This window comes from Homo sapiens, chromosome 6, assembly GCF_000001405.40.
Source record: "Homo sapiens chromosome 6, GRCh38.p14 Primary Assembly".
NCBI lineage: Eukaryota > Metazoa > Chordata > Mammalia > Primates > Hominidae > Homo > Homo sapiens.
This window is the reverse complement of record NC_000006.12, coordinates 105,121,346-105,145,663: the sequence shown is the minus strand read 5'-3', so window position 1 is coordinate 105,145,663 and position 24,318 is coordinate 105,121,346. Positions and strand designations below refer to the sequence as shown.

Sequence of the window (24,318 nt, the reverse complement as noted above, 5' to 3'; positions counted from 1 at the left end):
TAGAGACAGGGTTTCACCATGTTGGCCAGGATGGTCTCAATCTCTTGACCTCGTGATCCACCCGCCTCGGCCTCCCAAAGTGCTGGGATTACAGATGTGAGCCACCGTGCCCAGCCGTGTGTGTGTTTTTTAAATTTTGTTTTGTTTGTTTGCTTGCTTTTTGAGACAGGGTCTTGCTCTGTCACCCTTGCTGGAGTGCAGTTATGTGATCACAGCTCACTACAGCCTCTACGTCCCAGGCTCAAGGGATCCTCCTGCCTCAGCTTCTGGAGTAGCTGAGACTACAGGCGCCAAGTCGCCATGATGGCCCATTTGTAGAGATAGGGTTTTGCCATGTTACCCAAGCTGGTCTCAAACTTTTGGGCTCAAGCAAACGGCCTGCCTCAGCCTCCTAAAGTGCTGGGGTCACAGGCATGAGCTACCACGCCCAGCCTGTGTGTCATTTCTTTTAGGAGCTGTGAAGCCTTTTGGTGAAAGTTTATTGTCCAATGATTAAACTGTTACATGACTTTAGGGAGCTTCTCCCTGAATTTAACATTAACAGTATCTGGACACTGCATTTTTTAGACGGCGGGACTTGCAAAACAATAATACAAAAGTTTAGGCCCTTTGCTTTGAGATGTTGTTTCCAGTTTTCCATCTAGCAAAAATATAGACCTGTTGAGTGCATAACCTGTTTGGTTATTTTGAACAAATTAAGTAATTGAATCAATTTATAAAGTAAAAAACACACCTATTAGAATGGCTAGAACTCCCCACCCCACCCTACAAAAAAATGATAGTATTAAATGTTAGTACAGATGTGAAGCAACAGGAACTGTCATTCATTGCTAGTGAGATTGCAAAATGGTGCAGCCACTTTGGAAGACAGTTTGGAAGTTTTCTTACAAACCTAAACATAGTCTTACCATATGATCCTAGGTATTTACCCAAATGAGTTGAAAATATGTGTACACAAAAAACTCCACACCAATGTTTATATATGTTTAGACATAATTTGCCAAAACTGGAAGAAACCAAGATGTCCTTAAAATGGTAAATGGATAAATGAACCGTGGTACATCCAGTAATAAAAAGATATGGGCTATTAAGACTCAAAAAGACATGAAGGTTACAATTGATACCACAGAAATAGAAAAGATCATAAGACACTACTATGAACAATTATATGGCCACAATTGGGTAACCTAAAAGAAATAAATAAACAACTAGAAACAGACAACCTACCAAAACTAAATCATAAGTAATAGAAAATCTGAACAGACCAACAATGGTGAGGAGAATGAATAGTAATAAAAAGACTCAACGAGAAAAGTAAAGGACCAAATGGCTTCACTAGTGAGTTCTACCAAATATTTAAAGCTTCAATCTTTAACTTTTAATTTAACGTCAGTCTTTCTCAAACTCTTCCAGAAAGCCGAAGAGGAGAGAACACTTCCAAACACGTTTTATGGGCCCAGAATTACCCTCATACCAAAGCCAGATAAGGACACCACAAGAAAAGAAAATTACAGGCCAATATCCTCAATGAACATAGATGCAAAAATCCTCGACAAAATACTAGCAAACTAAATTCAACAACACATTAAAGATTTCACACACCATGATCAAGGGGGATTTATCCCTGGGATGCAAGGATAGTTCAACATATACAAATAAATAAATATGATACACCACACTGACAGAGTGAAATACAAACACCATATGATGATCATCTCAGTATCTGTGGAAAAACGTTTGACAAAATTCAACATCCTTTCATGATAAAAACTCTCAAAAGGAATGTTCCGCAACACAATAAAGGCCATATATCACAAGCCCACAGCTAACATCATACTCAATGGTGAAGGCTGAAAGCTGACTGGGCATGGTGGCTCACACCTGTAATTCCAACACTTTGGGAAGCTGATGTGGGAAGATCACTTGAGGCCAGGAGTTTGAGACCAGCCTGGCCAACACAGTGAGCAGTGAGATCTGTCTCTAAAAAAATATGACAATTAGCGGGCTGTGGCAGCACACAGCTATAGTTGCAGTTACTCAGGAGGCTGAGAGAAGAGGATTACTTGAACCCAGAGTTCAAGGCCACAGTGAGCTATGATCATGCCACTGCATACTAGACTGGGCAATACAGCAAGACCTCGTCTCGAAAAAACAAAGAAAAAGAAAAAGGAAAAGCTGAAGTCAGGAACAAGACGAGAGTGTCTTGTCTTCTATTTAAGACAGTACTGAAAGTCTTCGCTGGGGCAGAAAAAGAAACAAAAGCCTTCCAAATCAGATAGGAAGAAGTAAAATTGTATATTTGCAGAAGACATGATCTTATATATAAAAACCCTGTATACTCCACCAAAAATTATTAGAACTAATAAGCACATTCAGTAAAATTAAAGGATATAATATCAACATGTGAAAACCAGTTGTATTTCTGTATATGAATAACAACCTACCTGAAATGAAGTAGCAATCTCATTGACAACAGCATCAAAACAATAAAATATTTAGCAATTCATTTAACCAAGAACATGAAAGACCTATACACTAAAAGTATAAAACATTGATGAAATAAATTGAGGAAGACACAAATAAATGAAAATATGTCCTACGTTCGTGGTTCGGAAGGATTAATATTGTTAAAATGTCTATACTACCAAGAGTAATCTATAAACTCAATGCATTTTCTATCAAAATTCCAATGGCATTTTTCACAAAAATAGAAAAAAAATCCTAAAATTCGCATGGAACTACAAAAGGCCCCAAATAGGCCAGGCGCTGTGGCTCACGCCTGTAATCCCTTCCAGCACTTTGGGAGGCCGAGGTGGGTGGATCACTTGCGGTCAGGAGTTCGAGACCAGCCTGGCCAACGTGGAGAAACCGCGTCTCTACTAAAAATACAAAACCTAGCCAGGCATGGTGGTGGGCACCTGTAATACCAGCTACTTGGGAGGCTAGGGCAGGAGAATCACTTCAACCCTGGAGGCAGAGTTTGCAGTGAGCGGAGACTGTGCCACTGCACTCCAGCCTAGCCAACACAGTGAGACTCCATCTCAAAAGAAACAAACAAACAAACAAACAAACAAAAACCCCAAATAGCCAAAGCAATCTTGAGAAAGAAGAACAAAGCTAGGGGCATCACATTTCCTGATTTCAAGCTGTATTACAAACCTGCAGTAATCAGAACAATGGTACCAGCATAAAATCACACGTCTAGACCAATGAAACAGAATAGCCCAGAAATGAGTCCATGTGTTTATGATCAAGTAATTTTTGATGACAGCACCAAAAATATACAATGGGGGAAAGATAGTATCTTTAATAAATTGTTTTGGGAAGACTGATTATTGGACCCTTATCTTATACCATTCACAAAAATTAACTCTGAATGGATTAAAGACTTAAATGAAACCATAAAACCACTAGAAGAAAATGTAAGAAAAAGTATTCTTGACATTGGTCTTGGCCATGACTTTTTGGATATGATACCAAAAGCAAAAACAAACAAGTGGGATTCCATCAAACTTAAAGGCTTCTGCACAGCAAAGGAAACAATCAACAAAATGAAAAGGCAACTTATGGAATGGGAGAAAATATTTGAAAACCATATCTCTGATAAGGGGTTAATATCCAAAATATGTAAGAAACTCATATAACTCAACAGCAATAAATAAATAAATAATAGGTAAAGGACCTCAATAGACATTTTTCCAAAGACATACAAATGGCTAACAGACACACGAAAAGGTGTTCACCATTACTATCATCAAGGAAATGCAAATCAAAACTACAATGAGATAATCACCTCACACCTGTTAGAATGGCTACTATCAAAAAGACAAGAGGTAACAAGTATTGGCCAGAATATGAAGAAAAAGGAGCCCCTGTGCATTGTTGGTGGGAGTGTACACTGGTATAGCCATTACGGAAAACAGTATGGAGGTTCCCTGAAAAATTAAAAATATAATTACCATATGATCCAGCAAGCCCAATTCTAGGTATATATTGAAGGAAATAAAATCAGTATCTCAAAGAGATGTCTGCACTCCCATGTTCATTGCAGCAATATTAACAACAGCTAAGACAGGGAAACAATGTAAGTGTCCACTGAGGAAGGAATGGATAAAGAAAATATGGCATATGTACACAGTGAAATATTATCCAGCCATAAAAGAAGGAAATTCTTTCATTTGTAACATGAATAAAAATGCAGGGCTTACACTAAGTGAAATAAGTCAGAAAGAGATAGACAAATGTTGTATGACCTCACTTATGCATGGAATCTAAAAAAGTTGAACTCACAGAAACAGAGAATACAGTTACCCGGGGCTGAAGGGTGGGAAAACCGGGGAGGTGGTCAAAGGGTACAAACTTCCAGTTATAAGATGAATAAGCTCTGGGGATCCAATGAATGGAGTAGTGACTCCAGTTAGCTATACTTTATTTTATAACTGAATTTGCTAAGAGAGTAGATCTTACATGTTCTCACTACACACATAAAAATGGTAACTATCTGAGGTGATGGATGTGTCAACTAATTTGATTGTGGTAATCATTTCACAATATATACATACATCACATTAAAAAAAGAAAAGGCATGGAAGAAACTTAATGCATACTGCTTAGTGAAAGAAGCCAATCTGAAAAGGCAATACATTATATAATGCCAACAATAGGATATTTTGGAAAAGGCAAAACTATGAAGACAGTAAAAAGATCAGTGGTTGCCAGGGGTGTGGGAGGAGGATAGACAGAGGGATGAAGAACTGCAGCACAGTATATTGAGATTGTTCTGTATGATACTGTAATGGTGGATACATGACATTATACATTTGGCAAAACCTGCAGAATCTACAACATGAAGAGTGAACTGTAAAGTAAACTACAGACCTTTGTTAATAATGATGGATCAGTTTGAGTTCTCCCTTTGTGACACACATACCACACTAATGCAAGGTGTTAATCATGAGGGAAACTATCTGCTCAGTCATCTGTAAACTTGAACTGCTCTTTAAAAAAGTCCATTAATTTTTTAAAAATCAAAAGAAATGTAAAAACAATCAGTGAGGATGGTTGTCAAACTGGTCAGTGAAAAAGTTAATGCAACAATTAGTGAGAGGAATGTGGGTTCAGAAACCAGTCGTGACCAGAACTGTCTGCTATGAGAATGTATCAGAAACTGCTATAGTCTCCATGCAATTAGTAATAACAGTTGAAATAAAGTCTACACTGATGTATACCATGGGCAGATTTGTAGATAAGGAATATAACGCTACTTACTGTTATGTGAGTACTTGTTTTTTTGTTTTTTGTTTAAGACAGAGTCTCACTCTATTGCCCAGGCTGGAGTGCAGTGGTGTGATCTCGGCTGATCGCAACCTCTGCCTCCCGGGTTCAAGCAATTCCTGTCCCTTAGCCTCCAGAGTAGCTGTATTACAGGCATGTACCACCACACCGGGCTAATTTTTGTATTTTTAGTAGAAATGGGGTTTCACCATGTTGGCTAGAACTCCTGACCTTAGGTGATCCGCCCACTTCAGCCTCCCAATATATGTGTACTTTTAAAACAAGTGACTCCCTCAGATCTTGTTTTATTTTCACAAAACTTATTCTATCTGAACTTTGAAGTCTCATTAAGGTTTTATCCAACTGGTAAAAGTAGACTAGGATGCCTATAGAGAAATAAAGGTAAAAATAATTATGTCAATCTAACACTAGCCAGAGTTTTTACAGAGGAGACAGACTGCCTTGTATTTTGTTATTCATGCTTCTTACCCTTTTCATTCTACACGTATGTGCAAATTAGCTCCTTGCTTCATATTAACTTTCAAAATAGCGCTCGGAAGCTTTCAATCTGACCTTTCTGTGGCCAGCAGGAGGAGACCAGGGAGCTTAAGGCATTCCCATATCCTGGGCTATGTGTTTAGAATTCTTGCTTTGAATTTTATAAAGCTACTATTCATACATCTGGGATAAGAAATTAAAATACAGTAAGATACTCATTATAAATAACGGTTTCAATCCTAGATGGGTTATAGTGAGGGGATTAGGTTTTTTCCAGTCTTCACTTCCTATAGAACACAGACTCAAAGAAAACACAGACTCTGTGAAAGGCTAGAACTCAAATCTTATGATAACTAATTCAGTGCTCTTTTCATAAAAATGTGCAATCTTTATAAGATCTACATGCCTTACAGGTATCCTATCCTGAAGGTAAGGAGTGGGTGTGTAATAGGTGACAATATATCTAAGTTACTTATAACACTGCCTGACACAAAGTATACTCTATGTGAGGCATCAGTAAGCTTCTTCTGTAGAGCCAGAGAGTAAACATTTTAGGCTTTGTGGGCCATAAGGTTTCTCTTGTAACTAATCAAAGCCGCACTGGCAGCATGAAAGCAGCCATAAAAATGAACGTGACTGGGTTCCAATAAAACTTTATGGACACTGAATTTGAATTTTATATAATGTTCACATATCATGAAATATTCTTCTTCTGATTTTTTCCAACCATAAAAAATGTAAAAATGGGTATACAAAAACAGGCAGTGGGCTGGGGTTTTGGGGGCATAGCTTGCTTTATATAATTAGTAGACATTATTATGATGTCTATAATATCTTTCTAGAAATTATTTTTAATGGTTGTTTAAACATAGAGTCTGTTTCTATGTTTTTTATTTTTAATGGCTGTTTAAACTGGTAGGAGAGGGGGGATTCAAACCCAGCTTGTGTGACATCAAGGCCCATGCTCTTTCATAAACAAGACTGTCTGGATGTTCTATAATTTACTTAGTCCCCTGTGGTTAGAATTTAGGCTATTTCCAATATTCATTATTATAACTCACCCTCCAGTGAACATCTGTGTAGTTAAGTCTTTACGCACACATGTATACCCACACCTTAAAATGTATTTAGTGGTAGCTATCAAAACAGCTGGTAGGGACGTGGGCACACCTGTAATCCCAGCTACTGGGGAGGCTGAGGCAGAAGAATCGCTTGAACCCGGGGGGCGGAGGTTGCAGTGCGCCCAGATCGCGCCATTGCACTCCAGCTTGGGCAACAAGAGTGAAACTCTGCCTCAAAAAAAAAAGGCTGGCAGAGCATCTAGAAAGAAACAGACTCTAAAGAAGTAATCTCAAAAAGTAATCTTTTATGGTTATAGGAAAGTTCAGACGTATTAGAAAAGGAGTTTTATAAATACAATATATATACATAGAACTTATGTCCCAAACACCATTTTAAGACCCTTATATATAATTACACCATTTAGTCCTCAAAACTATACTATGAAGTGCAGGTACAATTATCATAATTATCATCATCATCATCATCATCATCATCATTATCCCCATGTTCCAAAAAGGAAACTGAGGCACAGAAGGGCTAGGTAACTTCTCCAAGGTCACACAGTAAACTGGTAGGAGAGGGAGTATTCAAACCCGGCTTGTGTGACATCAAGGCCCATGCTCTTTCTTACTAGGCTGCACCATCTCTTCAACCAGAGACTTGTCCAGTGTGCACCTCCAGGTACTCTTTATAATGTACCTTCACACAATCGGTGGTGGTATTTTTTATATTGAGATCACATTTCACATGCATGAACGATCTCATAATCTAATAACTGATGCCAATTTTAACCAATAATGGGACACTTTTGGTGGAAACTGGGTACCCATCTAACCTTCCTCTATTGTCCTACAAGACAACTCCCAACAACGCCAATTCTTTATTAAGTTTCCTTGCTTTTCTTACCCAAAATAGTTGTCCAGTGAACAGTAAAAGTTGATCGGAGCATACTCTCATGTCTTATTTTCCAACGTATGGCCCAAATCTACATTCAGGTAGTGCTTTGCCTACGATGGAGGGCCTTGTACCGCCTGGGATTGCTAGTTTCGGTTAAGTACCCCTGTTTGAAAACAAAAACAGTGGCGCGTGTCAGAAGTCCCTCCCGCGCGGCCTCTTCCCCCTCTTCCTCCGCAGCAGGAGGCCTGACCCCCGCGTCCTGCACCCGTGTGGACCAAACGTTCAGCCTCCCCCGCCACAATCGGACGGGAACTCGCGCGCTTTCCGGGCTATTCCCTGTTTGTGCTGAGTTATGGGCGAATCTCCCAAAAAGGAGATATACGAGTGGGTCGTCCAACTTTGAGGGGAAACGAGGATTCTCTTTCTCATTTTCTCTCCTGATTTCTCTCCCTACCCGGACCGCACTTCTCGAATTATCCCCGTAAGGAGGAACGACGAATGCCGCCGGTCCCACGAGACTGCCGCCCCCCACTCATGCCCAAACAAGGATAGAATCTTGTAGCGAGGCGACAAGAAAATAAATAAGCGGGCGTTTCAAACCGAGTCCTCGGGTGTGCAGACCCGCAGCGGAGTCGCGGGAGCGAGGTGGGAAATCCTGGCCGCGGCGCCGGGCTCCGCCCGCCGGGGGGCGCGGGGCGGCGGGCGCATGCGCGTGCGCGGTGCGGCCCCAGCCCTGGCTGCCGCCGCCTGCCGCCGCCGTCGCGATGCCTATTTTAGTCAAAGCGGCTGCGGGCTTGGGGACCCGGCCCGGGCAGCGGAGCTTCCGGACCCGCCGACCCGCCGAGGAGCGCGCGTCGGGCTCCCGTCGAGCAGCTGAGCCCGTGTGCCCCGCGTCCCGCGCCCCGAAGCTGCCGCTCCGAACTTTGGTCGGCGCTGCCCAGGCTCCCCGCCAGGGACCAGCCGGGTAAGGATGGGAGGCGCAGCTGCAGCCGGCTTTCCCCCCGCGCCGGGTTGTGTGCGGCCTCGCGCTCCCCTGGCTAAATCGGGAAGCGAAAGTTGGATCTCAGCCCCTCGGGGAGCAACTTTGTCGGCCCTGGCGGCAGCTGCTTGTTCTACGCGCCCGGGCAGCCGGGGGCGCCGCCCTCTGTCCCTCCTCGCTGGCCGCGCCCTCGAGGGGCTCCCGGCCCTTGGAGGCCGCCCTTCTCCCCGGGTCTGGGCGCTGCGGCCACAGAGACCCTCAACGGTCAGCGGCCGCCGCTCAGGTCAGGCAGCCCCAGCGTCCCCGGGCCCTCGGCCCCACCGAGTGCCGGCTCCCGCGCTCTGCGGCGGCAAGCCCCTTGGTGAGCTCCGTCTCTGCTCTCTCCGCCGAGTCTCCGGGGTTCCTCCTCGCCCCCTGTAGGGCCGCCTCGAGCCGCGCAGAGCCTGCGTGCAGCCGGGCGCGCGGTGTCGCCCACTCCGTCCCCGCTCGGAGAGTAGGGTGGGCCACGGCGCTCACTCCTCACCCCCGCGTCCCGAGAGCGCCTGGCCGAGGAGGACCGTTGCCACGGACCCTCCTCCTTTAAGGAGCGAGGTCAGAGGGCCCCGGGAGAGCGCCGATGGCTGGGGACCCGAGGTCCGCGCCACCCACCCGCAACCTCCTTCCCCGAGCCTTTGGGAACGGGTTGTTGGCCAGACAAGTCCCAGAAACTGCCTGCTTTGAAGCATGAATAAGTGCGAAAAGACTCTTAGCAATGTAATGCCATTTGCCATTCGGGAGATGTGCGAAGATTCAGTTAGAATTACAGAATGAATTAACTCGACTAGCAAGACGCTCGTTTGCAGTTATCTTTTTCATTTTTTTAGTTTGGTAGAGGTTTAATGTTAGTTTCAGCATTTAGCTATTTAGCCCTACAATCACCTATTTGAAAAACGATAAACAAAACTTTACTAGTATAGGTAATTTAAGGACTTCAACTTTGATGATCTGATGAGGGAAAAATAATTTCTCTTGATTTAGTCAAAATTAATCTGAAAAGTTTACCAATTTAGCAGTCTAACCTTTCTCTTTCCACCTATTCTCTGTATAAGAATTGTTAAGTGTAAGCCACTTAACGATTAAGTGGTAATCAAAGTAAACTGATCTGATCAATATTTTCGACAATAGGTAACTGGCATTTCACAATAGACAATTATATAGATATATAGATACATATATCTATATATATCTCTCTCTCTCTTTAATAAGGTGTCGTGCGTCAAAACATGTTTAGGATGACCGTACCTTCTAAAAACTGCTAATAATATTTTCTGGTTCTTGGGTCATAATAGTAGTTTTCCTGTCATTTTTCTTGGACCAGAAATTGGTACTTTTAGTGTCACTTTAAGAACTTGTAAAAGCCTGATATTGAATTATAGTGGATTAATAGGCAATACAGGTGAAATTGGGTGAACTCGAGGGGCAACATGTATTGATTGATTGATTATGTAAATGTGTATTATAGAACCATAGGCTATTAAAGTTTTCCCTATTCCAAGGAAGAAACAGACCCGAGGAGCAGAAGTGGCTTTCCCTGGCTTATGTAGCACCCTGGTGGCTTGTGGTGTAGAACCTCACTCAACCTCAGGAAGGCTAGGCACTCCTCTGGCTTTATTACTGAGATCTGGGGAGACGGAACAGTGATTTCTGAAAGTGTTTATCAGGTTGACGTTCCTTCAGAGTGGCTTTCATCCCTGTCTCAGTGGCCTTCTCTACAGAGGCTAGGCCTTGGAAGTACATAGATGAATAAACATTGTCCCTGCCTCCTAGAGGACAAACAGGACAATGGGAGTGTAGGTACATTCTACAGTGCTGTCGAAATGATAGTTATTATTAACCTATGTAATGCTAGGGTAGGTGATGTTGGGTTATGAGTGATAGAGGATACCTCATATCATTCTCTGTCCTGCAGAAGTTACGAGATTCATTCTCGTTTGGCCTTGAAAAGCAAATTTTGTATAAATGGAGTTATTAAAATAATGATCTTCCCCCCCGCCATCCTGATAGGCTTATATATTTGCTGATTTCAGACATTTGGAAAATAGGTGAATTTTTGTTTCTTTCCTTTTTGTAGCAAATCAATATCTAAGTCAACTATTACTATTAATATTTATGAGCTATTTCAGAATTATGTAAAAAGATCTTCAGTTGACTTGATCATTTCATTCACAATTTGTAAATTGGTGTGCTTGTTTTTTATCATCTTTAAGCTGTGGAATTCTTTCACATTTGTCTGTTAACATCCTTTCAAAATACCCATTTTGTACCAATTAATTATTCTACTACCTAAAACCTTTAGTATGTTAAGAACAAGCAGTAGAAGAGTAAGATTAATTGCATGACCTTATTTTGAAAGAAATACATATTTCTAAATTTAAATGTATTTAGGGTCCCCATTTGGAATTTTGCTGAAACAGAATAATTCATATAATCTGTAAACCTACATAGTGTTTGGCAAGGACCAAATTTGTGCAATTAATAATAGAGTGTTTTTTAAGGACCGGAGACCGAAGACAGGTAACATAGGAAATGGTTTTATATAAGCATGTGTAAAATGTATATTCTTTAAATGTACTTGCTATGGATTTTCATATGTATAAGTAAACTGGAAGTTTACTACTTTTAAATTTGTGATATGCTACCAGGTAGAATTATTATGGGAAATAAAGTAGAGATTTAAATAAGACAATAAAAGTTTCATGTTGTATCTCTCTGTGTATATATAAATGTTTATATGGCTATATATTATTTGCATATATGATAATGTATTATGTATGTATGATACAGTGATTTAATGGTGGTATAAAAATAGAGCCTTCTAAATATCCTAAGCCTTCAAATAGATGTGAGGGTATTCATATTTTTTAAGTATTCAAATAATTAGTTTTCTAGTTATTTTTCCTGTGTTTGGATTCAGTCACCAGTGGGAATTTGATGGAAGACTAGACTAAATAACTTTGTAATTACCATGGTTTATGAACATTGGTGATTATCTTAAAGACTAATTCCCTCACTCCTCCCTTCCCTACAAGTGTTTATACGTATATATGTGCCTATGAGGGAATAGTTTTGCACTATGCTAAGTATTTTATGTATTTCATTTCATTTGATCATAAGGCAAATGAGGTATTATTACCATCTTTTAACAGGTAAGGAACTGAATACATTTAATATGTGACAGAGTTGGATTTGAATCTGGGTCTGTCTAATTCATAAGCACTAGAGAAGTCTATTTAATTCACAGAAATAATTTTGGTATAATACCTATGAAGGTAAAAAGATACAATTGCCATTTTTACGATTTTACTTTTGTTTACTTGTTTTTACAGGAATTTTCAAAATGAATTATACAGAGTCCAGCCCATTGAGAGAATCAACTGCCATAGGTTTTACACCTGAGTTAGAAAGTATCATACCTGTGCCTTCCAATAAGACCACTTGTGAAAACTGGAGAGAGATACATCATCTGGTTTTTCATGTAGCAAATATTTGTTTTGCAGTTGGGTTGGTTATTCCAACTACTCTTCACCTTCATATGATATTTCTTAGGGGAATGTTAACTCTAGGTAAGATACCTAACTGATACTTTATGTAACTTTTCTGTAACTGACATAAGATGGGCTTTACATTGAGAGCTTCAGAGTATTCTTTGTCAGGCCCATAGCAAGCCAAAAAATGTAAGTCTTTGTTAATGAATTAGCAGTATATCAATTAGCTTAGAGCATAGGCCTTCACATGCCATATCTCTCCCTTACTTACTTTGTTTATATGTGCTTTCATATGTTGTTTAGGTTTTCCAGATACCAGAACATTCATTCATGTGTAAGAGTATGAACTTTAAAGCCAAATTGTGTGATTCAAATCCTGGTTCTATTTCTTGTCAACTGTAACTTGGGCAAGTGATTTAATCTTTCTACTGCCTCAGTTTCCTCATGTATCAGATAAGGGTAAAAATAATACCACCTCCCAAAGTTGTTGTGAATTAAATGTGTGTCATATATATATTTAACTTGGAATATTGCCTGCCCATAGTAAGTACTGTATAGTTTTAACTATTATTACTTGAAAAGATATTTGCTGTGGGCAGTAAAGAAACATTGGGAACAAAAACAATTACCAGATACAGTAGTTCAAATAAAACAAATTTTTTTTGGTCCCAGTAACCCTGATGAAGCAAGTTAAATTGATTCACATCAGAACATTAAAACAATTGAATCTGTTATATTAGCCAGTGATTCTTGACAAATTATTCTCTATGTGATTATTTCCCTGATGGCCCATTTATTCAGGTGCATTTTTTAGCACCTGTGATGTGTCCAGACAAAGACTGAGGAAGGCCGTCTTCATCCTTGAGAAAGACACTCTTGTGGGGGCTGGTGGAGAAACAGATGGGCAATCCCAGTATGGCGTATCAGATGCTGGGATGCAGGTGTGCACCCATTATCCAGGGGGACACGGAGAAGGTGATAGGCTTAGTAGGAAGGCAGAGCAGGGTCCCGCTGAGGAGGTGACATGGGACCTGGATTTTGGAAGATGAGCAGGATTTATCTGAGTAAATGGGTATAGTATCCAAACAAAGAGCACAGAAGAGAAGGAAATTGAGCATATTGGGGTGAACGTAGAGTAGTGCATTGTGCTTAAAAATATAAATGGGCTGGACACAGTGGCTTACGCCTGTAATCCCAGCACTGTGGTAGGCCGAGGTGGGTGGATTACCTGAGGTCAGGAGTTCGAGACCAGCTTGGCCAACATGGTGAAACCTTGTGTCTACTAAAAGTACAAAAATTAGCCAGGCATGGTGGCAGGCACTTGTAATCCCAACTACTCGGGAGGCTGAGGCAGGAGAATTGCTTGAACCCCGGAGACAGAGGTTGCAGTGAGCCAAGATTGTGCCACTGCACTCCAACCTGGCGACAGAGCTAGACTCTGCCTCAAAAAAAAAAAAAAAAAAGTGATAAATGACAAGGAAAAAGAGGCTGGAAGGTTAGTAGAAGCTTGTGGGACCTCTGTGGCTGTGTGACCTGTGAGTAAGGTGAGGATTACAGCAGTAGGAACAGGGAGTTGAATGGAAAAAAAAATACCGTACCCTATAAAAAAGCAAACATCAATTATGAATTTTAAGACAGAGTTTTGGAGGTGGAATGAACCAAAGATATTATCAAATCTAACACTTTATTCTGTAAATGCAGAAAGAGAAATCTAGGCCAGGCATAGTGGCTAACGCCTGTAGTCCTAGCACTTTGAGAGGCTGAAGTGAGAGTATCTCTTGAAGCCAGGAGTTCAAAACCAGCCTGGGCAATGTAGTGAGACCTTCTGTCTACAAAACATTTAAAAATTATCTAGGCATGGTGGCATGCATCTGTGGTCCCAGCTATTTGGGAGACTGAGGTGGGAGGACGGCTTGAGCCTGGGATGTCGAGGCTGTTGCACTCCAGCCTGGGCGACAGAGCAAGACCCTGTCTCAAAAAAGAAAAAAAAATTTTAAAAAGTGAAACCTAGACAAGTAAAATGACCCATCCAAAATTAAGATGGAGAAAAAATGGCCAAACCAGGACTATAATTCAGGTCCTCCAGTTTTTCTCTATCCTCCCATTATATACCTTGTCTCCTTTAAATTAAAATATTTTAAATTGCTTCACTATTTGCTATGAAATATTACTTAAAGAATATTTAAATTTTTACATTTTGGGCTTTATTCAGGTGCATCAAATCATTCTTATGAAATAAAAAATTGCAAGTGAGTAACTTTTAAAGTGGGTGGTTAGCTTTTGTGAGTATGCGTGTGTCAATGATTTATATCTTCATGATAGTTTTATTTTAAATGTATATACTGTATTAACTCTCCTATCATAAAATTGATCAAAAGAAACTGGGGATATTTTATATAAGGTAAGAGAATCAATAAGAAAACACAGGAAGATTCTCAGAGATAAATGGATAATCACCAAGGGAAAATTCAGATGGCTAAAACATTTTGGTAAAATATGCAGGCTCACCAGTAATCATGGAAATGCAAAATAAAGTATACATAATTCCTCACTATCAAATTAGGAGTTTTCACATTTTATAATACAGTTATGCATCGTATAACGAAAGTGGTCCCATAATATAGTACCACATGTTCACCTTTTCCATGTTTAGATATATTTAGATATACAAATATTCACCATTGTGTTATAATTGCCTGCAGTATTCAATATTCAATACAGTAACAAGCTGTACTTTATTGGTTTATACCCTATAGTGTAGTAGACTATGCCATCTGGGTTTATGTACGTATAGTCTCTGATGTTCACACAGCAACAAAATCATCTAACGAAATGTTTCTCAGAATATATCCCTGTCATTAAGTGACACATGACTATACTGACAACTTGATATTAGCATTTCTAACTAGTAGGATTGCAAATTTGTACAAACCTTTTGGAAAACAATTCTTCAATATTGTAAAAAACTATAAATTTCATTCCCTAGATTCACCTTCAGGTAATCCAGACTAAGTAAACAATCACAAATACAGAAAAATTTGTATGTATAAAATTTTTTTTCCACTTGTCAAAAATTATACCCTCAAAATATTGTGTTTCCGGCAGTAGGGGGATGGTTAAATAAATTATGGTTTAATCAGCTGCAGTCTTTTAAAACTATGCTGGCAAAGAGTTTAATGAAATGGGAAAATCACTGGAATAAGTCAAAAAGGAGATTTTAAAATTGTATGTGTGCTAGGTTTGCCATCAGGTAAAACTGTATGAAAACTCTGTAAGGCAGAATTAAATTATTTGATATTTAATGGCTTTCTTAAAGTAGTAGAATTATGGATTTTTCCCCTTTAAAAATATTTTTAAACTTTGTATTTCCTATATATTTTTAATACAGATTTTATTCAACAAAGCATATATTTGGGGTTTTTTTGGTCACTGGACAAAAAACAAAATGAAACAACATGATATTTGGCTTAGGTAGTTCTAAAATGTGTTTGATTTACAGTAGTCCCCACATCCATGGATTCACTTTCTGTGGTCAACAACAGTCCAATAATATTAAATGGAAAATACCAAGAATAAACAATTCATACATTTTAAATTGCAAGACATTCTGAATAGTGCGATGAAATCTTGCAGTGTTTTGCTATATCCTGCCTGAGATGTGAATCATCCCTTTGTCCAACTTATCCCCACTATCTGTGTTACCCACCCAGTGATTGCTTATTAGCTGTCTTGGGTATCAGATCAATAAAACGTAGTGTTTATAGAGTTGTATACTATCCATGGTTTCAGGCGTTCACTGGGGGTCTTGCAAAGTATCACCTTCAGAAAAGGGAGGACTACTGTATATATAGAGGATATCAAATTTATTAAGCTCCCCACTTAGGCTCTTCTAGATTATCTAACGTGTTAACTTTGCTCTTCAACAGGATGTACCCTTTATATCGTCTGGGCCACTCTCTACCGATGTGCCTTGGATATAATGATCTGGAACTCTGTGTTCTTGGGTGTCAACATTTTGCATCTGTCGTATCTTTTATACAAGAAGAGACCGGTAATTATTAAAATTAATTAATAAGGAAGTGATTTTAAAGCTAAAACTTTGAAAGGTACTTTGTTCAGAGTTAAGAGTAAGTATCTAGCATATTTAGTCACTTTAATATAATTTCTCTGAAGTTTAGGCTTTCTGTTTACATTATGCCTGAAAGTGAAACATTTTAGTACCACGAAATTTGTTCTACAAATGAGTTTTTAAAACTTTAAAAATCATTAGCATATGAGAGAACATGAATAATATTTTCCTTTTTAAGTCATATTACTTGATTTTTTATATTGATATTCAGATGTTAACCTGGAAATATCATTGCCCAGTTATAAAATTACTTACTAATAGGCAACTTCTTAAACATTCTAATGATTTACAAATAGTTCATGCTATTTTTTAGTGTAATAACTGTATATTTTTCTAATGCCCAAAATATTCATCTAAGGAAGTCACCATATTTGGTGGGTTGCTACCAAAACACCAGTCTTTAACTTTTTCTTTTCAACTCTGATTTATCTTGTATTTGTTGATCATACCAAGAATAGAAAGAGTAGGAAAACAGCAGGGGTCCTAGAAATCACCCCATATATATCTACTGACTTTCCTAAGCACAAACAAACATTCAGTAAAGTAAAAGATATAATGCTTGCCTTAATCTTATGTTTGGGGCCAGATTTGCATGTAGAAAACTATCAGAAAACAAGATGATTCATAGAAGATTCTAATTTGAATGATGCAGATGATATATAATAGGCATTCAACTAGATTGTAACCTCATCTAAACATAGTGAGTCAGTCTGTGTTGTTTTACTGTAATATTCAGTTTTTTCCAGGTTATGCTATGTAATAAATCTCAATGATATATAACAGCAAATGGGCTTTTTTTCTCACCCACCTTGTATCTTGCCTCTGGCAGCTATGTGTCAGCTGTGATTCTATTCTATGCATCTCATTCATTTAAGGGTCTGTGCTGAAGCAGCAGGTTCTATTTGGACCATGCATTCTCATGGCAGAAGAAAAAGTACTGGAGAGCAAAAGAGAAACACCCAATGTCTCTTAAAACTTTTGCTCAAAAGGGACATATATTGTTTCTGTTCATATTTCATTGGCAAAAACAAGTGACATGGCCCAGTTTGATAATATGGGGCATGGGGTGGAGTAAGGGGATGTACAGTCCTCTTACAGAGGTTGGGAGCAGTGAATAATTGGAAACAATAATCTAACACACTTATTGTTGTATCCACTTTTCCTGTCAACCATTATTGGCACACAGTAGGTGCTCAAAAAAACCTTTGATGAGTAAATGCTTTCAAAGAGGAAAAGTATTAGGCAAGGTGCAGTGGCTCACGCCTGTAATCCCAACACTTCGGGAAGCCGAGGCGGGTGGGTCATCTGAGGTCAGGAGTTTAAGACCAGTCTGGCCAACATGGCGAAACCCTGTCTCTACTAAAAAATACAAAAATTAGCTGGCATGGTAGTGCACACCTGTAGTCCCAGCTACTCAGAGGCTGAGGCACAAGAATCGCTTGAACCCAGGAGGCGGAGGTTGCAGTGAGCCGAGATTGTGCCACTGTACTCCAGCCTGGGTGACAGAGCAACACTTTTGTCTCAAAAAAAAAAAAGAGAGGAAAAGAATTAAGAGGGCTTCATGAGGCTGGGCGCCATAGCTCATGCCTGTAATCCCAGCACTTTGGGAGGCCTAGGTTGGAAGATCTCTTGAGCCCAGGAGTTCGAGACCAGCCTGTGCAACATAGACCCTGTCTCTACAAAAAATTTAAAAATCAGCTGGATGCGGTAGCACACACCTGTAGTCCCAGCTTCTCGGGAGGATCACTGGAACCCAGGAGTTTGAGACTGCAGTGAGCTATGATCACACCACTGCACTCCAGCACAGGCAACAGAGCGAGCTCCATCTCCAAAAAATAAATACATAAAAAGGGCTTGATCTGAGAGTTACGGGATGAGCAGATCATGAATAAATCATATTAAATGCTCATTAATAGAGCTTTGGAGTAGAGGAGGTAGATAATGATTGCATTTTCTGAATGTCAGAACTTGCTGGAACCCCAAAATGTAAGGTTCAGAAGTTGCTGATATGATCATAGCACCAAATAGGTAAATCGCTTAGTGTCTGTGCTTTTGTTTCTTCTCATACTATAAATCTACTTTTTTGAAAAATATGAATGCTGGATTTTCCTCAAAATGAAACAGCAGGACAAGTAGGAGCACTGCAAATGCTATAGTGACATTGGTTGGAGCAGCTGTCATGATCTGGGTCTATAGGCTTCGTATAGTGCCTGCCAGAGATACAGTGCAGTATGGTTTTCCATCCACCCAATTAGTATGACTTCCAGAGACTAATGCTGGGCCCAAAGATGGGGCATGACCTGGGCTTTGGAGAATCTGACAACAGAAATGATTAAGCCATTTTGTTTTTCTCTTCCTCCAGTAGCCAGCCTTATTTGCCAGTGGGTTCTCCATTTTACAGAGTTCATTTTAGCTTACAATGAAACTTCTACACTAAAACTCTTTTACACCCTTTTATTTTTCCTTCACTTTACTTGAGAGTATATAAATGTGAAGCAGTGATTGCAGCTGTGCATATTTGTTTTTCTATATTGGTGCATTAAGTAATTACATGGAGATAAAATGCTTAATGTATGTGTTACCTTTGTAAATTTGTTTCCTCATTGATTCCTATTTTGTGTTTATTTTCTTGCTGCCATATTTAAAAGTTAGTAAATTTTTTGTGTGTGTGAAACAAAAGGTTTCACAGAAAAGGTTTTCTGTTATTTATAGAAGGTGCTAAGATTGGGAAGATGAATGTTGTGACAACATTGAAAACCTAAACAGTTGCATTATAGCTAATAGGAAGAGGTTATGATGAATAGTGCGGATCTTCCCCTTATGCTCTGAGTTCAGTTTAACTGCAAAAGTTTTTTGATTTTTTTTTTTTTTGAGACAGTGTTACTCTGTTGCCCAGGCTGGAGTGCAATGGTGCGATCATAGTTCACTGCAGTCTCAAACTTCTGGGCTCAAGTAATCCTCCCACCTCAGCCTCCCAAGTACCCAGGACTATAGGTACTAATTTTTTTTCTTTTTCTTTTTCTTTCTTTTCTTTTCTTTCTTTCTTTTTTTTATTTTTATTTTTATTTTTTTTTGATACCGAGTTTCGCTCTTGTTGCCCAAGCTAGAGTGCAATGGAGCAATCTCAGCTCACTGCAACCTCCACCTCCCGGGTTCAAGCAATTCACCAGCCTCAGCCTCCTGAGTAGCTGAGATTACAGGTGCATGCCACCACGCCCAGCTAATTTCTTGTACTTTTAGTAGAGATGGGGGTTTCACCATGTTGGTCAGGCTGGTCTCGAACTCCTGACCTCAGAAGATCCACCCGCCTCGGCCTTCCAAAGTGCTGGGATTACAGGCGTGACCACTGAAAGTGCTGGGATTACAGGCGTGACCACCGCACCTGACCTTTTTCTTTTTAATTAGAGATAGAGCCTCACTGTGTTACCCAGGCTGCTCTCAAACTCTTGGGCTCAAGTGCTCCTCCCACCTCAGCCTCCCAAAGTGCCAGAATTACAGGCATGAACCACCTCACATGACCTAACCATACCCTTTTAGCATCTGAAGTATAAACTTCTATCACCATTTCACTTGCTGTGTAAGATTCTATTGGCCTAAATACAGAAGGGTGATGGTATATATCAAAGATTTGTTAATTATCAAAACCATATTTAGACCACAGAAGTCAGTGTTTTGGGATTGCTGCTGCATTGGTGAAGCATCTAGTCATTGCTGCATTTCAGGTAAAGATTGAAAAGGAACTCAGTGGCATGTACCGGCGATTGTTTGAACCACTCCGTGTGCCTCCAGATTTGTTCAGAAGACTAACTGGACAGTTTTGCATGATCCAAACCTTGAAAAAGGGCCAAACTTATGCTGCAGAGGATAAAACCTCAGTTGATGACCGTCTGAGTATTCTCTTGAAGGGAAAGTAAGTGTTCTGTGGAAATCAAAATTCCTAGTTTACCTTTAATCTTTTCATGGCCTCTGGGAAGGAAGTGAATGGGAGGAAATGTTGCCAATGAATGGAGAAAGCAGTCACAGAGTTTGTTGTTGGTGGAATTTTTTGCTACAACTATACTTTACAATGCTATAGAGCAACATGTTAAACCCAGGTTGAGTGTACTGCTCTGAATCTTGATGTCAGGATTTCAATTGCAAGTATTTTAACCATTTTTGACGTTTTATTAAAAATATGAGTCAAAATTGTAGTGGATTTAAATTAGACATTGAAATTCAAAAAGCTTATGCATGCTCCAGAGTTAATTTGTCTTGAATATCACAAAAATACAACTTCTAGGAATATCAGCCTTTTGGGGAGAGAGTCAGTCTCTGTTGTGCTGGCATTGTTATTAATAACACCTCTTTCCCTCTCAGAAGTGTGCCAGTTAGAGTTACAGATTATATGGTCACTTCTGTTAGAAGAGCAATAGTAACCACTAGACAGCATACCTCTGGCTCAATACTGGACACTGTTTTTTTCTTTTTCTAACGTTATTTTTTGAAATACTTGTGCCTCAAGAAGTGCTTTTAGTTATGTCCATCATCTCTGTGGAATTTTTAAAACTGTACTACAAAATAAAATCGCATAAGATGATAGCAGTTTTAAGGATTATCATGGTATTTGTGAAATATTGCTTTTATTAACATTAATTTCTGTTATCAGAATGAAGGTCTCCTATCGAGGACATTTTCTGCATAACATTTACCCCTGTGCCTTTATAGATTCTCCTGAATTTAGATCAACTCAGATGCACAAAGGTGAAAAATTCCAGGTATGTTTTCACATGATTTTTAAGGAGATTGAAACTAGTTTGCATCTCATTCAGAATCCAAAGGATATTAATAGAAACACTGCTATGAATTATTGGGGGGAAAAACAAGTTACCATAGGGCATATATAGTATTGTCTCTTTTTTTTTTTTTTTTTTTTTTTGTTTGAGACGGAGTCTTGCACTGTCGCCCAGGCTGGAGTGCAGTGGTGCAATCTCGGCTCACTGCAAGCTCCGCCTCCCAGGTTCACGCCATTCTCCTGCCTCAACCTCCTGAGTAGCTGGGACTACAGGTGCCTGCCACCACCCCCGGCTAATTTTTTGTATTTTTAGTAGCAACGGGGTTTCACCATGTTAGCCAGGATGGTCTCAATCTCTTCACCTCATGATCTGCCTGCCTCGGCCTCCCAAAGTGCTGGGATTACAGGCATGAGCCACCACGCCTGGCCTAAAAAATACTGTATATATGTACAGAAAATGTTATAGAAAGATATATTCTAATTTTGTCATAATGTTATTTCTAGACTGTGTTTGCTTTTTGAATTTTTTTTTGCTTATTTGAATTTTTATAATTTTTTCTATAGAAAACATCTTATGCTTTATTAGCGAAAAGGAAAATGTGAGCTGTAGATAATCAGTGTTCTTAAACCAAGTAATTGACATTTATTGAAGAAAACCAGAAAACTGGCTTTGCCTTAGGGAATTTATTTTGTTAATTCTTATGAATGAAATGTAATCACTAAACTCTTTTTACTTAATGAATATGTTTAAGGGGAAAGAACGAAGTTCTTCGTAATGGCAATAATTTGAACATGGACTACTTAGTGTGATTCCTTTTGTGTTAAAACAAATTGCTCCAGCCGGGCACGGTGGCTCACACCTGTAATTTTGGGAGGCTGAGGCAGGCAGATCACGAGGTCAGGAGATCGAGACCATCCTGGTTAACATGGTGAAACCCCGTCTCTACTAAAAATACAAACAATTAGCTGGGCGTGGTGGTGGGCACCTGTAGTCCCAGCTACTCGGGAGGCTGAGGCAGGAGAATGGCGTGAACCTGGGAGGCGGAGCTTGCAGTGAGCCAAGATCACGCCACTGCACTCCAGCCTGGGCAACAGAGCAAGACTCCGTCTCAAAAAAAAACAAACAACAACAAAAAACAAATTGCTCCATTATGTGACACTGTTCTGATTCTTTCTGTAAGTGTCCAGCCCTCCTATGTTATTCATTCACCTTGTTATTGGAAGGAAATTAACCAAGAAAATAAATGGGTGAGAGTTTCCTTTAGTCTCAGCCTCTGGATTAACAGCAGTAAGGTAATATCCTGAGAATGGGATTGCTTGTGGGCAAGAAGGTAAATCTATTTAGGTAAGAAATGGAAACGAAGAGGCTATTACTACCTGAGGGAGGAAGGAATGTTAGTGTTTCTTGATGACAGAATCTTATTTTAGAGTCTCATTTTGAGATGTTATACAATTTGGGATGCCACAAAATTGGAGATAAAAGAACACTTTTAGACATACAGTTTAGTTTTTATCATTTACGGTGGTTTCAATCCTGCCCTGCTCCCGCCCTTCCTGAATAACTGGCCTGAGTAATCATGCAGCTTGTTAGTTATGTGCATTTACTAAAAGGTTGCATATAGATTCACTGTTATGCAACATTCTTCCCAAGCTGGCTGGACTTACAATGCAGAAGGAGACAGCTAATGCTGTGTCCTGGCTCCTGTCTTTACACTCTCACCTTGTTGTGAGGGTCAGCTTTGATGTGAGATTTATGTTCTTAGTTTATCTTTAATCACCGCGATCTACAAACGTGCAGGGCCGCATCTTCTTTCTCTCCTTCTTTGCTGTGACCTTTTTACAGTTTCTTCTTCCAAAGCCCAACATTTATCTTTTGCCTGTATTTCTCTGTGTATAGTAGCAGGTGGTTTTGTGTGATAACTATCTCATATAATCCTGAAGAGACTGGGATTTGAGGATGGGGTGGGAATTGAACCTGCTTTGTTTCCAGAATCAAGTGGTTCCCAAGAGGCCAGAAATACTAATATACTATCTTTTCTGGACTTCAGATTGTATTTATAATTAAGTCAACAAAAAAGGAATTCCTACCACTAGCTACAGTTCTCTTTCTTCTTGGGGACTAGGGATTGGATTTTGGTAGTTGAGAATTATTCCCGGTAATTAGAAAGATTCCAAAAACATGACCAAAATTTTATAGTGCCATAGCTGGATGAAGAAAATGTGTTCAGCTTTTCCTAATGCCAGTCAGCTTTTCTCTGCATAGAGTCTCGTGTGGCATTTCCTGATTGGCCAGTAGATTAAAACTAGCATCATGAAGCCTGTGTCCTGTATAGCTGGAGCCATCAGAGTAAGCCCTTGGGAGAGACTGTACTTTGATTGTTTACAAAATGTTCCTGTTGGCAGATCCTCAAGAGTAATAAATAGCTGTTACACATCTGTGTAGGAGTATGTATATTGCCACTTACCTATGCAAGTTCCCAAATGAAAAATGTCACATTCTCCCAGAGCCAACTTCTCACTACCTGTGTCAGTGGCAGAGGACGCTTGATCATCAGCCATCAGGCTTCTCCACCCTCACACTTTTTACCTGCTAAGCTCATCTTTCCCTAACTCTGACCAGTTAAACATGTTCGATGAGGATCTACTTCCTTTGAGTTTCTCTTTCTTTAAATTCGTTCTGTGGTCAGGGTGCTCATGAATTGTACAGTACGATGAAAAGGAGGAAAGAGAAGGCAAGTGGACTCAATGACTGTCCCTTGAGATTGCATAGCAGGTGTTGCTCAGGTAAATATGTAGTAATTATCATGATAATAAGCATAGTGATAGAGCTGAGAAAACAGATTCTGAACTTACAGTTTGTTATCCCTAGGTACTTATAGTGATTTTGGTACTTATAGCCCAGAGTTGCTGTTTATAACTATTGATAGAATCTTGAGTAGTATTATTACAAAAGATGAAAGTAGGCCAGGCGCGGCCGCCCACACCTGTAATCCCGGCACTTTGGGAGGCTGAGGCGGGTGGATCACCTGAGGTCAGGAGTTTGAAACCAGCCTGGCCAACATGGTGAAACCTGGTGTCCACTAAAAATACAAAAATTAGCTGAGCATGGTGGCAGGTGCCTATAATCCCAGCTACTCAGGAGGCTGAGGCTGGAGAGAATCACTTGAACTCGGGAGGCGGAGGT

The 24,318-nt window shown here is 39.8% G+C and overlaps 1 protein-coding gene and 1 long non-coding RNA gene across 4 annotated transcripts in view, besides 2 other annotated features; one reads left to right on the top strand and one right to left on the bottom strand.

Moving 5' to 3' along the window:
- Nucleotides 1-7,977, bottom strand: part of POPDC1-AS1 (POPDC1 antisense RNA 1) — a 32,259-nt gene extending 24,282 nt beyond the window's left edge. The window contains exon 1 of the long non-coding RNA NR_037157.1: nucleotides 7,741-7,977. This is a non-coding gene — a long non-coding RNA (POPDC1 antisense RNA 1). The remainder of the gene's footprint in view (nucleotides 1-7,740) is intronic.
- Nucleotides 8,469-8,578: a silencer, noted in NCBI's record as "silent region_17427". NCBI's record gives its function as "represses an Ori minimal core promoter by ATAC-STARR-seq in GM12878 lymphoblastoid cells {active_cell/tissue: GM12878}" and the evidence as "EXISTENCE:reporter gene assay evidence [ECO:0000049][PMID:35858748]".
- Nucleotides 8,507-24,318, top strand: part of POPDC1 (popeye domain cAMP effector 1) — a 40,336-nt gene continuing 24,524 nt past the window's right edge. Inside the window, exons 1-5 of one of the 3 annotated variants that reach the window (NM_001199563.2) lie at nucleotides 8,507-8,695; nucleotides 12,076-12,312; nucleotides 16,161-16,285; nucleotides 20,086-20,273; nucleotides 21,009-21,117. In NM_001199563.2, coding sequence (NP_001186492.1) covers nucleotides 12,087-12,312; nucleotides 16,161-16,285; nucleotides 20,086-20,273; nucleotides 21,009-21,117 — 648 coding nt within the window. In that variant the 5' untranslated portion in view covers nucleotides 8,507-8,695; nucleotides 12,076-12,086. Of the gene's footprint in view, nucleotides 8,696-8,995; nucleotides 9,072-9,315; nucleotides 9,464-12,075; nucleotides 12,313-16,160; nucleotides 16,286-20,085; nucleotides 20,274-21,008; nucleotides 21,118-24,318 lie in introns of those variants that run through there. The other 2 variants (NM_007073.4, NM_147147.4) reach the window with 2 other exon arrangements.
- Nucleotides 8,589-8,708: a silencer, noted in NCBI's record as "silent region_17426". NCBI's record gives its function as "represses an Ori minimal core promoter by ATAC-STARR-seq in GM12878 lymphoblastoid cells {active_cell/tissue: GM12878}" and the evidence as "EXISTENCE:reporter gene assay evidence [ECO:0000049][PMID:35858748]".